Source organism: Homo sapiens, chromosome 14, assembly GCF_000001405.40.
Source record: "Homo sapiens chromosome 14, GRCh38.p14 Primary Assembly".
Taxonomy (NCBI): Eukaryota; Metazoa; Chordata; class Mammalia; order Primates; family Hominidae; genus Homo; species Homo sapiens.
The window spans coordinates 23854228-23871092 of NC_000014.9; the positions used below are offsets into that span (position 1 = coordinate 23854228).

Consider the following 16865-nt stretch of genomic DNA (forward strand, 5'->3'; position numbering starts at 1 on the left):
TTGAAGCTTCTCATATTCATATCTTCAAACTTCAACTTCTGATGTATTTCACAGCACATGATTTGCAGGTCATGCATCATTGCCTGCAACTCTTTCTCCCTTTGAAAAAGCCTGGGATGATAACAATCTCTCTTTCAACTTTTTCATCAGCTACTGTAATTTATTCTCTCCAGTTCTAACTCTGCTTTTGTGACCTGTTGCTGAAATGTTTATCTTGAAGACCTAAAAAAGTGATGTTTTCCTCCAGTATAACTTTATCCTGTACTCTTGGCTTCTCTTGATGTATCTGAATTGTTCCACATAACCAGGAAACTTCCCATGCTATTGCTAAGAGTACTATATTCCCCTACTCAAGATACTAGTTTTCTTATTTACCTTCCTCTATAATATGGTATACACACATTCTTCCTGTGACTGATTAGATTCAGATACCTTTTAAATTAGGTTCAATTTCCAGGGTATCCAAATGGGCTGCCCATGAGGAGAAGCAAGCACACTGCATGAGGTTTTCTTTACCTTTTTGGGCACTGACCTAAAGAAAAAAAAGAGAGGGAGAGAGAACTTATGTTTTATCAAGATAACTTTCTGTGTTGTCTTTACTAGGTTTCTGATTACTTAGGAAAACTGAGCTTTGAAAGTGTTAAGGTTTTTAAAAATCCATATAACTTTCTGTATTGCTTTTGAAGTTGTTTATCACTCTGGTTAAATGCATGGCTATTAATTTACAGTGACCCATGATCCTGTTTTGATCAACTGTTTCAAAACTGTTTTCCGTCTTTGGCTTGCTTCCCCAGGATCAAAATTCTAAATTAAATCATTTTGACCTAGATTTCACTTTGGAATTTTCCAGTTGAGCCCCTGGAGAGTCTCAAAGGATATACTTCTCATCTTGTAGAGATATTAAATGATTAGGCTTATTTGGTAAATTTTATAGGGAACACTGTCAAATGATGAGTGATGCTAGATCTTCTTTCAGTTGCATTCATGAGTGTGTTTTTGATATGAATGTTCTGAAACTTAATAAGACTCTTAGAAATCTGTCATCAGTCATAATTCTGGATATAATGTTGTATGCAACAAAAATAACTGAATTTCCTTGTCAATTGCTGATTACAATGAACTTTCATCAGATTTTTAATCATGACTAGTCTAAGTTTGGGTCATCCACAGTTATTGTTTTGATTTTTCTCTAAAAGCACTTGAAATAAGCTACACTCCAAAATTACTTTTCATAGAAAAGACTCTAGAAGTACTCTTAAATACAGGTTTTTAATAACTTTAAGATCAATGGACTAGATTAAAATTTCCCAGAACTCTAGTAAAGAAACTGATGAGTTCATGAACTTGCTAATCAAGATCAAGCAAGACAAAAATTAATTATGTGAGACTGAATAACTGACAAAGATAATGCTTTTGTGTTCTTTATTTAAATCATTTTTGGCCAGGCACAGTGGCTCACGCCTGTAATCCCAGCATTTTGGGAGGCTGAGGTGGGCAGATCACGAGGTCAAGAGATCGAGACCATCCTGGCCAACATGGTGAAACCCCATCTCTACTAAAAATACAAAAATTAGCTGGGCATGGTGGCGCGTGCCTGTAGTCCCAGCTACTCGGGAGGCTGAGGCAGGAGAATTGCTTGAACCTGGGAGGTGGAGGTTGCAGTGAGCCGAGATTGCACCACTCTACTCCAGCCTGATGACAGAGTGAGACTCCATTTCAAAAAAAAAGCAAAAAAAAAAAAAAACTACAAAACAATAAAACATTTTTGATCCTTTACTTGAATGTTTTGTTTTTCAGATTTAAAGAAATTTTCTCTCTCAAGCTATCTGTAGCTTACAGCAACTTGGTAAAGTATACTTTTGTGAATAAAGATGGATGCATTTGCCTTTTCTCTCCACTTGATTCCTCCAAAATTTGGAAACTATTCATAAGTATTCCTATGGCAATGTGGTTATTTGCATAAGTCCAGTGAAAATCTGCTCTCTCTTTACAGCAGGATACAATTAGAAACATTGGCTATATTGTCAAAGCTTTGATGGAAATGTCATTTTGAGAATGTGCATGGAATGCCTGGCTTCCCAGGCATTCTGGTTTCCAGCCTTACCATGAGTAGATAAAAACGATCACTTCTTGGAATACTCAGGAACCCTAATAGTTTAAATTTTAGATTTAGATTTTAATTTAGATTTTACTAAAATCTAAAGTCTGCCTTGGTTTGGCTTTCTAACGTCAAGAGGTTTTTAAATCTGAGATTCTTACGTGATCTATGTGGAGAGAAAAAGTTATGTTTCCAACAAAAAGCTAAAACATCTGTTATTGGGTTGTAGCGCTGCACTTTTTCAAGTTCTTGCTATCTGCCTATAGACTACACTAGACCCTGAATTTGTCTAGATTCCTCCAGTCCAACTTTCTTCCATGAAATTACTAAAAACAGTAACTTCTCTGTTTCTAAAGCCCTATAAGCTGAAACTTGACAAATTTTTAAAAACGAGTCCTGTGCCTAATGTATATGCCACACAGAAAGTTCACCAAACTACCCAGTGCTATATCCAGAGACATTCAAACTGCAAATCAGGATGAGAAAAGTTAACTTTTTCTTTTTCTTTTCTTTTTCTTTTTCTTCTTTTTTTTTTTTTTTTTTTGAGACAGTCTTGCTCTGTTCTCCAGGCTAGAGTGCAGTGGCATGATCTTGGCTCACTACGACCTCTGCCTCCCAGGTTCAAGTGATTCTCCTGTCTCAGCTTCCTGAGTAGCTGGGATTACAGGCGTGTGCTACCACACCTGGCTAATTTTTGTATTTTTAGTAGAGATGGGGTTTCACCATTTTGGCCAGGCTTGTCTCAATCTTCTGACCTCAAGTGATCCGCCTGCCTCAGCCTCCCAAAGTGCTGGGATCACAGGTGTGAGCCACCACACCTGGCCAAAAAGTTGACTTTTTCATATTGTTAACAGCTTTTCCCAAGACATCAGAATAAGACTCTATATTGTAATGAGACTCTCACCCTCTTAATGCCTACCTTTTTCATTTGACAGGATAATGGTCATTTGATTTATTCAATTGGTTACTTAGGTTCATGGCTCAAAGCCATTATGCAAACTGGTATTGTCATACTACCATTAATTTTACTTTGTATTTTTCTTTTTAAACTTTGCATCTGTTATTGCTAAATTTTGCAGAAGTGCAATTCCTGACAGAATAATGCTGGCTTAGCGCTTTAAAATGATAACAAATGCCTATGAAACACAAAAATAAACTTAACAATGGACTCCAGGTATACTCAGCCTGAGAGCCACTCCCTTCAAACCTCTTTTGTTGCTCAAATTTTGGCTAAAAGGGTTTTAACACTGACTTCTCACTGTCATTCGCTTTCTCCAACATGGAACCGTCTAGACCAGCAACCAAGGACAGGTTTATCTCAGCACCAAAGAGTATCAAAACCTCATTACAGGATGACTTATTAGTGATGCTTTTGGAGAAAGATCTTGATCAAATGGGGAAAATGTGAAATTTGTCAGAATCAAAATGGAATCACTTATGTTTAAACACAAAAAAACAAAAACAAAATTTGACAAATAGAGCTAGAGAAAGCAATGAAGAGAGAGTTTTGCTGGGCATGGCAGCTCACACCTGTAATCCCAGCACTTTGGGAGGCCAAGGTGAGCGGACTGCTTGAACTCAGGAGTTTGAGACCAGCCTGGGCAACACAGTGAAACTCTGTCTCTACAAAAAATTAGCTGGGTGTGGTGGCACACACTTGTAGTCCCAGCCACTCAGGAGGCTGAGGTGGGAGGATCCCTTGAGCCCAGGAGGCAGAGGTTGCAGTGAGCTGAGATAATACCACTGCACTCCAGCCTGGGCGACAAAGCCAGAACCTGTCTCCAAAAAAAAAAAGAAGAAAGAAAGGGTTCTTATGCATCAATGCCTAATAACAAAAACTATCACAAAAGATTCTGTAGAAACTGCAGTCTTGCACAAAGGCCATTGAAATCTTACAAAAAAAAAAATACATCTGCAAGAAAATCTGCCCAGCAACTGCCTATACAACCTTGGACTGGCATCACTCTTATTATTGATCCTTGTAACAAAGGATAATTATCTTAAAGCAATTATGAAATCATCCTCATTTTTTCTTTAAAAATCTTTGTCTTCCTTTGTCTCCCTGAATATGCATGTAGTTTACTATGGCATGCATATTTCCATTGCAATGCCCTATTCTAAAAAATGTATAATTTTTTAAAGCCTCTCTCACTGTGTTTATTATTTAGGTTGACAGCAGGAATCATGTTCTTAACATCCTACATTTTCAAATATTTGGATTTATATTAGATAATAATTATATTTAGTTGCCAAATGTCCTAAAGCTCATCTCAGTGCAAGGACTTGGTGTCTTTTGGAGTTAACTGGTTCAGCGTTCAATGCATTGGTCAATATCCCACATTAGAACACTCCATGGCACCATTTTCTTTTCTTTGGTGGGAAAGGATATGAGAGTGGAACACATACTCACACATGCAATTAACTAGTAATAGCATAGGCCTGCCAAGGGGCATGACACCTGAATTTGGCAGGAAAGTTGTTGAGCAGTAGCTAATCTCTTCTTAAATTGGTGATTGGTTCATAGGTTTTGACTATGGCCTAAAGGTGATCCCAGTGACAGGAGTTATTCTTAAGGTTGGATAGGTCCTTGGGTGTCTGGGCAGCTGTTGCTCTCTCTGCTCTTAAAGGCAGGCTATCCTTCCCTTTCTCCTCCTCCCAGGACAAACCCATGACGTCTCCCTGCCCTCTTTCCAGACTTCACTTGGTTGAATTATCAAGAGCCCACATCACCTCCTCTGGAAGTGATTACTTCTGAGAGAAAGCTTTCCTTGCTTGTCTGTCCTTTCAACCACACTCTGTATCTTCAGCATCTAGCCCAGTACATAGTCTAAAAACAGATGCTCAATAAATGTCTGCTGAACTAACAAATGAATACCACTCATTTGAACCTCATCTACTGCTTTGTCTTGTTCATTTCCCCCAATTTTTTTTCTGAATTTGACTACAAATGCATTAAGGATAAGATGTTAAAATTTGTTGCTTTCCTAAAGAGTCCATATTTGCAGTTTTGGTTAGCCATTATATGTTTGCGAGTTCCTTGAATCCTTCTCCAAAGCACAAATCTTTTGCTTAAGAGAGGTCATTTTTAGGAGAACCCAGTCTTATATTACATCATAATGAATTGTGTGTAGGGCCTAGAGAGAAGAAAGACATATGAAGAGATGCCTTGGATGGGCCTCAGATCCATTAACTCATTTTTTCATTTCATTTTCATACTAACCTCACTGGATTAGTAAGGTTGGTGGCACTAATCCACTAGGTTGGTTGATTATCTTTAAAGCCCATGTTCATAACATCTATGTCACTCCTAGGAGTTCAATTATGAGTAGATGAAATATGGTGAATTCAAATTTAATCCATGTTGAATACTGAACCCTCAAGCACCTATAGAAGCAGGAGGATATCTATGTGCAGGCAGAGGCCGCATAGGACTTAATCAAATCCTAGCTGGTCTTATCTTAATTGGGCCTCCCCAACCCGTTGTCCACATTCTGAGCTGCTTTTGAGATTGGGCAATTAGTATTTACCCTAGTGTGAATTAGAAAAGAGTCCTGTCTGGGCAAAGTACTAGGGATGCACAGCTTGTTGACTGGGTGGCACTGTTGTTCAAATTAGGAAAAGCATCTCCTCTGGGTGGACAGCTGAGAAGATTTGAGTCTGAGCAGGATTCCAGGCTCCCCCTCCATTTTCTGGGCTCCCTCTCCATTTCCGACAGTCCTGATGACTCTGCTCTCTACCTTCTCAAATCCTTGGGGTCTCAGCCATTCATATTTGCAGTAAGCCATCCCTCTACAGGAACCTGTAAACCACCACTGGCCCTAATCCTTATCTCTATAAAGATCCCATATACAGAGTTACTGTCTTCTCATAGTCCGTGCATATGGAAAAGATAAGAGTCCTTTCCAGGTTTTTAATTTACTTTGGCCCCATTTAAATTAATCACTCAAATGTTATGAGACACACAAGGTAATTGGCACATGCAAGCCCTTGGGATTACCATCACATCTTCTCACAGTCACCTGAAAACATATTTCAGTTTATATGAATGTGGTCCCTAAAACAAAAATAAGAGGTTTAGAGTGGTTTTCTCTTTCCCAACCCTTCTTGCTGCATTCAGTCTGTACAACTATCACTATTCTTATCCCTGCAGAGCCAGCGAGATGATTATTCTCTGATAAGAAGCAGTTGTACCTCTGTCTGACAGGAGAGCCATGTGAGGGGGAAAAAGAGAGGGTGTGTGGTAGCTGTGAACTGCTGGCCTTCCCTTCTGTTGCCTTCCCCACCCATAACCTGAACTCTCCTTTCCCCTCTACTCTTCTCCCTGTCAAATACTAACAAGGAAGATTTCAGCTTCTTAGAGTAGAAGGTATCTTGGCTGTGCCCAGATAAGATGGATGAGCATCAGCATTGACTGTGAGTTTGAGTTCCTGTAGGGCCTTGAGCTTCTTTTGATGGAATATAATTCCACTCAGTCATCTTCCAGCCTCTCCAGGAAATTCATCCTGTCCTAGCTTTTACTGGAGCAGAGACCTTTTGTGTTTCCTGCTTCCACCCCATGCCCAAATTAGTGGTTCAGGCCCCTGGATGAAAACTCACAACCTTGCGAACCCTGCTGTCCTAATCTTCAGTCCCAACCTCAGGACAGAACTCATGAAGAATGGGCCTGAGGCTTCCACAGTGTCAGCAATGGTGATGTGGAAAGGGGAGCCCTGAGATTCACAGCGGGTTGTCCAGGCTTTTTTCCTCTTCATAAGTACAACATAATGAAATAAAGTATCTCCAAGGGAGAAGCCATAAATACTTGGGGCCCAGATTCTCGTTGGGGCTGGGATTCCTGGAGTATCTCACTTTAGTAGGGTAACCACCAGTCTGAAGTTTTCCTTTAGCTTGGCATGTTCATATCTTCACTGTCATCTTATTCATGAGTGATCAGACCACTGGAAAATGCCTCCAGCTTATAACCTTATTGAAACAGATTTGTGTCAGGACATTCTATTCCCATAAATTTATCAACTGAAGGGTTAATGATGTCATGTCAGCCAGTCAGAGCCTCTTTCCCCAGGAGAGTAATCTGACTGGAGAACACAATTCTTATCAAAAATTTGCTTGGAAAATATGGGTTCAGTAAATAGAACTGTACTATTTTAGGAGACACTTTGTTCAAGTCGATAACCAATTTGTCGTTCATTTCAACTAAGATTCTCTAAGGAGACTGTGTTAGTCCATTTTGCACTGTTATAAAGGAATACTTGAGACTGGGTAATTTATAAAGAAAAAAGATTTATTTGGCTCACAGTTCTGCAGGCTGTACAAGCATGGCACCAGCATCTGCTCAGCTCCTGGTGAGGTCCCAGGAAGCTTTTATTCATGGTGAAAGGCAAGGAGGAAGCAGGGATGTGACATGGTGAAAGAGGGAACAAGAGAGAAAGAAGGAGGTGCTAGCCTCCTTTAAACAACCAGCTCTTGCATGAACTAATAGAGTGAGAACTCGCTTATCTCCAAGGGCATGGCACCAAGCCAATAGTGAGGGATCCACCCACCATGACCCAAACACCTCCCACCAGGCCCCACCTCCAAGATTAGGGATCACATTTCAACATGGTATTCGGAGGGGACAAATATCTAGACTATATCAGGCACCAAGTATTTGCATTGTCTTTCTCCTTACAGCTTGCTTAAGAATCTTTTGCATTTTTTACTGTGAACCATGTCCTGCAACAACACTTTGTAACTTGTGATGACTTTCAAGTTTGTGTATAAAACTTTGGATTGCACTGAGATTTACCAGGTCGTGGTGATATGTAGAATGACCCCTTAATCTTCACAGGAAGGTAATTCAGTTTATTCCACATTACACATTTTTCTACTAGACTGTTAACACTTTTCATTTGCCTCTACTTCCACACACTAAAGGATTTAGTCTTTTTATCATATATGTTGCAAAAAATATTTCTCAATTTGTCTTGCCATTTACCAACTACAAGTTTTAAATTTTTTCATAATAAAATTGATCATTCTTTTGTGGCTTGGAAAATTAGATTGTCAGTCTTAAAAGAGTATTGATTAAAATGCCTGAAATGAAGGGAGAAAAGGGAAGTTGAGGCAGTTGCTCCTCAAGGGCTGAACAAATTACAATAAATACAGAGATTATATATATATATACATATTTTACCTATGTATCTCTTATCTACCTTATAATCCACCCATTCATCTATCTACCACGGTACTAATAGAATGTGCCTTGAAGGTCTACAATAACAGGGAATGTAATTAAGCAGAGGCTCCGACTGCTGCACTCTGAAATCCACCTGGGCATTTCCTGGGGATCTATGCCCTCCCTCTGCCCCACTCTCCCACCCCACCTACTTCCTGGCTACTCCTAGCCAATGACTGATCACAGCAGGGACACTAAGGCAGGCTTATTCCTGGGAGATGCAGAGCTCCTCTGACAGCAGACTTGGGCCTGAGGACTCCTAGCAGCCTTGCTGAACTTTCCTAGACTGTACAGCAGTATAGAACAATTCCACCTAGCTTTCCTTTTCTCTCTTTTTTTATTCAGAGTCAAACATACATGGCAGTCTGATGCTCTCCCAGCACTCTGGATCCTTCCTCATTTTCTCTTACAAGTATTTGTCCTAATAAGGTCCTTGCACCCTTAATCTTATTTTGGTATCTGCTTCGTAGAAGACTCTGGCTAACATATTACGATGCTCTCTCATTTCTTAATTGTGTGGCAGCTGCCTAGCTCCTCATGGTAATTTGAGGTCAATTTCCTCTCTTATGTCGTGATTCCTTTCTTTTCCTATTGACCCATTGCCATGAGGAGCCCAGAATGATGAGGTGGTACTCACAGCTTTGAGTACAGAGGACCCTTACTGACTCCTCCTGTGAAAGTGTCCCCCTGGTGCCACTGTCCAGGAGCTAGCACTTCTGATTCAGCAGTGCCTGAGGTTATGGGATCAGGAAGTGTGCAGTCCACAGTGGGTCAATGGGCTTGATCATAAGAGAGGCTGCTACTACTTCTACTCATCAGTTTGCAGATCCATGTATTCTAGATATTGGTGTATATCATATATATACCATATATAATGAGTGTACATACTGACTGAGGACAGTTCCAATCCTACAGTGTCTTATCCACAGCTAGTGACTTAGATTAGCCTTTGAAGGCCTTTCCATTGTTCTAGCAGATGGAAGGCTTCCAGTGTATGGTAGGACCAGTGGATCCTATGGTAATATCTCTGTGACCATACCTCTTTTGCCATTAAATGAGTCCCTTGATTTGAAGCAATGTTGTGCAGAATCTAGTGCTGACAATTCAGTCATTCTGTAAACCCTAAGATAGCAGTGCTGGAAGAACCATGAAAGTAAGAAGGCAGAACATATTAAGGAAGGAGAAATCACTGCCTCCTCCAGGGTAGGAGTCCAGTGCAATCAACCTGTGCCCAGGAGGCTGGCTGCTCTCCTTGAAGAATGGTTTTATACTGAGGGTATACAGGGCCAGTCTCTGCTTCTGGGAAGTTGGGAATTCAGTAGTGCAGATAGCTAGATCAGTGTTAATGAAAGGGAGTACATGCTGTTGGGTTCATGCACAGCCTCCATCCCTGGCTATCACTGGCCATTGCATGAGCACTTGAGTAATCAAAGGGAGTTGTTCTGTTTATTTTGTTTCTGCATGCCTTCTCTATGGTGGTTGCTCTCTTGTGGGCACTGATGTAGACACAAACATCTGCACAATTTGTCCCCACTGCCACAGATCCACCCACCTGTGTTTTTCCCAGATCTCCTACTCTCTGACCAATTGGGGGGTGGGGTGTCACACACTTTTAAACAACCAGAACTCAAAGCAAGAATTCACTCATTATCGTAAGGAGGGCACAAAGCCATTGATGAGGGATCTGTCTCCATGACCCGAACACCTTTCATTCAGGCCCCACAACTAACATTGGGGATTACATTTCAACATGAGATCTGAAAAGGACAAACATCTAAACCATATGTCTTGTATGGTGAATTAGGGTTGTAGGTTTTTTGTAGCGACATGGGGCCGTAGGTTCAGGCCATAGCCATTTGGTTACCAAAAGCAGATGGCCATGGATTTTTTGTATGAGTCATCAGGGAGGCTCTGGGCCCTGCAAAGGGCTGCCCCAGGAAGGACTTAGACATGGAAAAGAGGAAGCTCCTGCCCTTTCTGGACCTCACTCTGTTGGATCTGGGCTTTGAAGAGTCTATTTATGCTTGAGGGCACTACCAAGCTGCAAGGGAAAGATAGACTATGCCACATGAGAATTATGTGTGTGTCAGAGTCACATTTGAGACTTCTAGGCAGTCTGAGATTTGAGAAGGAAATAGATGCTGGCTGAATTATTGAGCCATGACATCTGCCCAGGCTTAATTTACCCTAAGGATTCTGCTAATAGCATCCATAAGACACTTTACTAATACACAAGGGGTCACAGGACTTTGATAGTATCCTGTGTACCTTCCACCCTTGACATAAGTATTTGGTTTAATTTGCTTATACCAGATTGTCTTTGTCAATTAGACATCATCCCTACCCTTTCTGCATTCTCCTCTGCATTGCAGGGAGGTCTGGAACATCATTTCCCAGTGTCACTTTCCTGTATGGCCTTGGGTTAGAGTCTGCCAATTAAAGGCACTCACGAGGCATTTGGAAAGCAGAAGAGAAGTCAGTATCCCTGTTGTCAGCTGTGAACAGATGCTTGGACATATGACAGGCATACGATTTGCTCCAACTTCCGGGCAACCTCCTGAGAATCACCTGCTTTGGTATTGTAGACAGCTGGGGTTATTTTTAGCAGCTTTACTGGAATCCAGCCCTTCTTAATTTCATGAAGGTAGCAGCAGTTTCCATATTGCTTCCCCAACCCCTCTAATCATTGTGTAAGCTTCTGATTTCCTATTTTAAAACCCTTTCTCCTTGCAATGCAGATGTGCTTCTCTTTCACTGAGAGAACCCTGACTGATAGAACAGTGCTGCAGCCTCCCATCTCCCGTCACTTCATGATGATCATAGTGGTGGTTGGGGGCAACCTTTAGGAGTAAGAACTCCTAGCAAATGTTTCAGTATAGCAGAGCAGGCAGCTTCTAGATAATTCCTCCATCTCTGTGACCAGAGACCCCTTCTGTACAATAGCGGTCACCCCTGGTGGTGCAGAACAAATAGGATTAGATTTTATTTCTCCTCTTGTGGCCTTCCATTGGCTAGAGTTCAGCATGACTAAGGTACTTCACTTAAGAGGACCTAGCTGGCTAATGCATGATCTGGCTGCAGTCTAAGATATTTGCAGTGAATTATGCAGAATTAAAGGGATAGATATCCACTCTTAGACTCTAAGCCATACGGGGAGTGCTTCCTCAAGCAAACAGATATGAGTGTATGTGTCACACAAGGAATTTGTCCATTATCACAGATCTCATATTTCCTTTGTTTTTAACACAAATATGCCCTTAGGGAAGTTGATTGTCAGGGATAGAGGAAACTAAGGATGACGTGGGGATGTGGATGTCTCAGTGTATGCCAGCCTTGTTATATGATGAGGACCACTGCAGCAGACACTGCTGGTGCCCCAACTATTTTCCCTTTCTGCATTCGACATTCCCACAGACGGCAGCTGAAGGTAAGTACCTGTGGCTATGCTCGAGGGCTTTGGCTGGCCAAAGGACATTCAGCTTGGGAGCAGGGGAGGCCAGAAATGCCAGGGGATTGGCCTGGCATTTCTCATATCTCAACTAATCATATGCTCAACTAATGATTGGAGCAGGTAGATAAATAATCCCATCGTCTTTGCCCACCACTGGGACAAATCTGGGGCCTGCTTTGTCTCTGAGTCAAATTCCATGAAAGTTTCTCTGGGGAGACTGAGCCCCAGTAGCTAGGGTTGCCAGATTTAGCAAACAAAAATACAGGACACCCACTCAAATGTGAAGTTCAGATGAATGATGAATAATGTTTAGTATAATTATGTCCATCGTAATACTCAGGACATACACATATTAAAAAATTATTTGATGTTTGTTTGAAATACGAATTTAACCAGGAGTCCTGTATTTTATCTGCCAAACCTACCAGGAGTCCAAAGCAGTCACTTGCTCATTAGAGCTCCCTGTACTGGCTTCCTGCCCTTCTGTGTTCCACGTGCCCCAGCTCCTTGCTGGAGCTTCCTGGGGTCGCCTCTGAAATAGACTGCTTGCCCTCCATCTCACTCTTAAGAGTCTGATCAAACAGCTCCTCTCAACTACTGCTGTGGCACTGGGAGGTCCTCAGAAACGAAAGCCCTGAGGATGCCTTGAATTGACTACGGATAACTTTCTGGAAGCTATCAGAACAGTGGCTCAAAATAAAACTTAAGCTTCGTTACAAGAGAATAAAGCTACATTTCTCGAACAGCTGAGTTTGTTGCCTGAGCTTTGTACGTGCAGTCCATGTCTTAAATCTTCACAAAGACGCTATGGGCTAGGGACTATTATTCCACACGTAACCATGGCCATTTCAGGATGCCAAGTGATTTCCCCAAAGTCATAGCTAGTAAGTGGCAGAGCCAGGATTCAAACCCAGACCGTCTGCCTCCAGAGCCTGTGGTCTCATCCACATGATACACTGGGAGCCATGTGGGGAAAAATTAGGTTTTAGTTGTGCCACCAAAAGATGGTTAGGGTCTAGGCTAAAGCAGTGGCAGCAGGGATCCAGGGGAGGTTGCTCTGATTGCACCTGTGGGTTCTGGTGGCTGGTTGGTTGTGAGAGTCGTGAGAGCACCCCCTCAGTTTTATCTCTTGCCATATACCCTGCCCCACATTCCAGCAGCACTGGCCTTCTTTCTGGTTCTCATAAATATTCATGTCTACACCCAAGACAGGAGTATGCTTTTCCTTGTGCCTAGAAGTCTGTTTCTGGCCCTCTTCCTTGTCTATCTCACACTCATCTTTCAAGCCTTGGCTTATTTTTTTTATTATGGTACAATATACATGGCATAAAATTTACTCACCATTGTAACCATTTGTAAGTGTTCAGTTCAGAGGCATTAAGTACATTCACACGGTTGTGCAACTGTCACCACTATCCATCTCCAGAATATTTTCATCTCGTCAAACTGAAACTCTAAACCCATTAAACAGTAACTCTCCATTCTGTCCTCCTCCAAGCCTATTGTAACCACCATTCTACTTTGTCTCTATGAATTTGACCACTCTAACTACTTCATAAAATGGACTCATACAGTATTTCTCATTTTGTGACTGGCTTAGTTCACTTAGCATAATGTCCTCAATGTTCATCCATGTTATAGTATATTGCAGAATTCCCTTCCTTCCTTTTTAAGGCTGATTAATATTCCATTGTATGTACGTATCACATTTGGCCTATCCATTCATCCATTCACAGACTGGGGTGCTCCCACATTTTAGCTACTACAAAAAATGCTGCTGTCAACATGGGTGTACATGTCTCTTTGAGTCCCTGCTTTCAAGTCTTTGGGATATACACCCAGAAATGAAATTGTTGGATCGTATGGTAATTCTGTTTTTAGCTTTTTGTGGAAATGCCATACTGTTTTCCACGGTGGCTGCACCATTTTACATTCCCACAAGAATTCCATTGTCTCCATATTCTCAGCACCTCGGCTTATTTGTAGTTTTTTCAAGGAAGCCTCTTCTGACCCTTTTTACTAAGCTTACTCCCGCCCTGCTCCTCGCCACATCTTCATTGAGCTTATCATAGTTGAAATTTAAATGTTTATTTTTATGATTTTTTGCTTAACGTTTGGCTCCCCACTGGACTGCAAGATCTATGTGAGCAGGGACCATGGCTACCTTGATTATAGTAGCTTTGTTCCCAGTAACCAGCTCAGTGTCTAGCACATCATATGTTCTTGATGTTTCTTCTGGATAAATGAACGAATGATACTTCTATTTTGGGAGAATGGGTGGAAGGTGATGGGTTCGTACGATAAAAATGCAAAGTGAGTTAAGTAGTATGGAGTGGTCATCACAATTCCCTAACTGGCTGGCTGGGTCCCTGTCCCTCCTCGGACCTGTTGTTCCAAATCCCCACCAGCTGTCTCGGTGTCTGACCTAGGATAGGACAGATGAGTTTTTATGACAACTGAAGAGAGTCTGTAGAGAATGGCTATTTTAAATGGCCTCAAAAGTACCTTCCTAGAAACAAATCTCTGGGAAGTCAAAGAGAGCAGCAACTTGGGGGCCTGTCATTCCTCCAGACACAAGGATTTTCCATCTGGTGGCCACATTCATGCTTACTAAAGAGCCCCTCAGTCTTCTAAGGACAAGAGAAGAGCAGTGTTACAGTGTATGGTCCAATTAGTCCTTAATGGTTTTTTAATTGTTATTCAGCACTCAAGACAACCCACCTGGATTTAAATCATTTATATGTTTCTCTGACTATATATATTATACATTATATATTATTTTATATGTTTTAATATATTAATGTATTATATATAATATGTAAATATTATATAATACTATATATAAAATACATAAATATGTATCCCTAGTCAATCAAGTGCATCTGGCCATCAAAAAAAACTTTGATGCTGGAAGAGGTCTTGGAGACCATCTTGTTCAACCTGTAAATTTTCCAGGTTAAATCTCCAGGCTCAGTGAGATGAATTTTGTCCATAGTCCCTGTAATTTAGGAGCAGAGGAAGAACCTTGATTCAGCTTTCTACTCTAAGTTCAAGTGGATTTTTTCCTGACTAGATAATGGCTATGTCAAAACAAAAATTGTACCAAAGTTAAATAGGCAAAGGAGGCTTTATTCAAGGTTGTCGCAATAGGAGATAGAGGCCAGAACTCAGTCTGAACACAATTCTGCTGAAACAAAAGGAGTTTTTAAGAGATGGGGTAGGGAGGAGTATTATAGGCCATCTATGTTTGCTAACCAACTTTACCCAAACAAAAAGCAAACTTTCTCATATCTTCATGACAGGAGGTTAGTTTTACAACTTGGAGCAAGGCACCCATTGAAGTGAGGCTCCCACTCCCTCCCACTCCCCACAGAAACTGGAAGATAGGGCACTATCTCCCTTGATGCTTACATTTCAAAGAGATGGCTCCAAGGTCCTTGAGAAGGCCATTCCTGAGTTATAAAATTAGCAAGAGGCTTAAAAAAAAAATACTTACCTCTCAAAGGGGCAGAGAAGGTATTTACAATTACAGGTTTTCAAAAGTAAGTGCTCCAAGAAAAGGGAGGTCAAGGGGCTCCAGAGTCAGGAAGAAGCCTGTCCAAAATTTAGTGAAGCTGAGGGGAATGTTAAGGCCATCTTGGTCAGATACCACAATATCTACAACTTATTCTCATTCCGAGATTGTCCCTTTTCCAGAACTTTCAACTCAGCTATAAACTGGCATATTTTTCCAAGTTTCCAGTGGTTCACTTTAAATCACTACCAATGAATGACAGTGGCATGGCACAGACTGTCCTTCAGTGATGACTCTTCCACATCCCTGCCAATGTCACCTTCCATATGGATTCCCTCCTTTCCCTCCCTCTCTCACTTCCTTCACCATTCATTCCTTTTCAAAAATTAACTTTCCAAATGAAAATCGTCACTGTTTCCCACCCCCTAACACATTTTGAGTCCGTTATATAAGCAAAACCAAGCCTATCCAGGTGGAGAGAATATTTTCTGACCCCAGAAGGTTCACGTCCCCACCAAGGGGCAGTGGGTGGGAACTGCTGAGATGGAACTGTGGTACCATCATGGCAGCCTGTTCTGGTCTTGCAATCCAACCCAGCAACCCACTCTGCCCAAGTCAGAGACAGTGCCTTGATAAATATGCTTGATTGTTCCCTGTTTTCTCATGTTGGCATCTTTCTGTTCATTATTATTATAAACCAGTTTAAATCCCTGTGCAAATATCTTGTTTAATTTTATTAATCCATTCAAAAGAGATTAGTTGAGGTTTTTTCCCTGAAATTTCCAAATTCTTTCACTGAAGTCTAATCCACAATAGATGCTAAATAAATATTGGCTTAATGAGTGATCGAAGGTCATTGTTTATAAAAAATTGTTTCTTAATATTTGTATTCCTACATGATTAAGAATCTGCCAGTTAGTCACTAAACAAGACTTGTGTAAGTATCAGAAAGAAAGAAGGTAAATTGCATCAAGTTCTGTGCAATGTTTTCACTTAAGCAGTGTTTTCCAACTTTTCCTTTCCTCCTTCTCCTACCTCTTCCTTTACTTCAACCAATAGAAAGAAGTACATTTTCTATTGCAATCTGCTACACACACACACACACACACACACACACACACACACATGAATAAAACAAAAATTTCATAAAGAAATTTTCACTTTCACTATAGTTTCAAAGCACTGTGATATTTTCCATTCCATTCCATTACTGGGTATACACCCAAAGGATTATAAATCATCCTACTATAAAGACACATGCACACGTATGTTTATTGCAGCACTGTTCACAATAGCAAAGACTTGGAACCAACTCAAATGTCCATCAATGATAGACTGGATAAAGAAAATGTTGCACATATACACCATGGAATATTATGCAGCCACAAAAAAGGATGAGCTCATGTCCTCTGCAGGGACATGGATGATGCTGGAAACCATCATTCTCAGCAAACTAACACAAGAACAGAAAATCAAACACCGCACATTCTCACTCATAAGTGGGAATTGAACAATGAGAACACATAGACACAGGGAGGGGAACATCACACACCAGGGCCTGTCAGGTGTGGGGGGCTAGGGGAGGGAT

At 41.1% G+C, this 16865-nt stretch overlaps 1 long non-coding RNA gene across 1 annotated transcript in view; it reads right to left on the reverse strand.

Annotated features, from left to right (window-relative positions):
- Positions 1-16865, reverse strand: part of LINC00596 (long intergenic non-protein coding RNA 596) — a 95219-nt gene that overhangs the window by 15505 nt on the left and 62849 nt on the right. Inside the window, exon 3 of the long non-coding RNA XR_429343.4 lies at positions 433-532. This is a non-coding gene — a long non-coding RNA (long intergenic non-protein coding RNA 596). The remainder of the gene's footprint in view (positions 1-432; positions 533-16865) is intronic.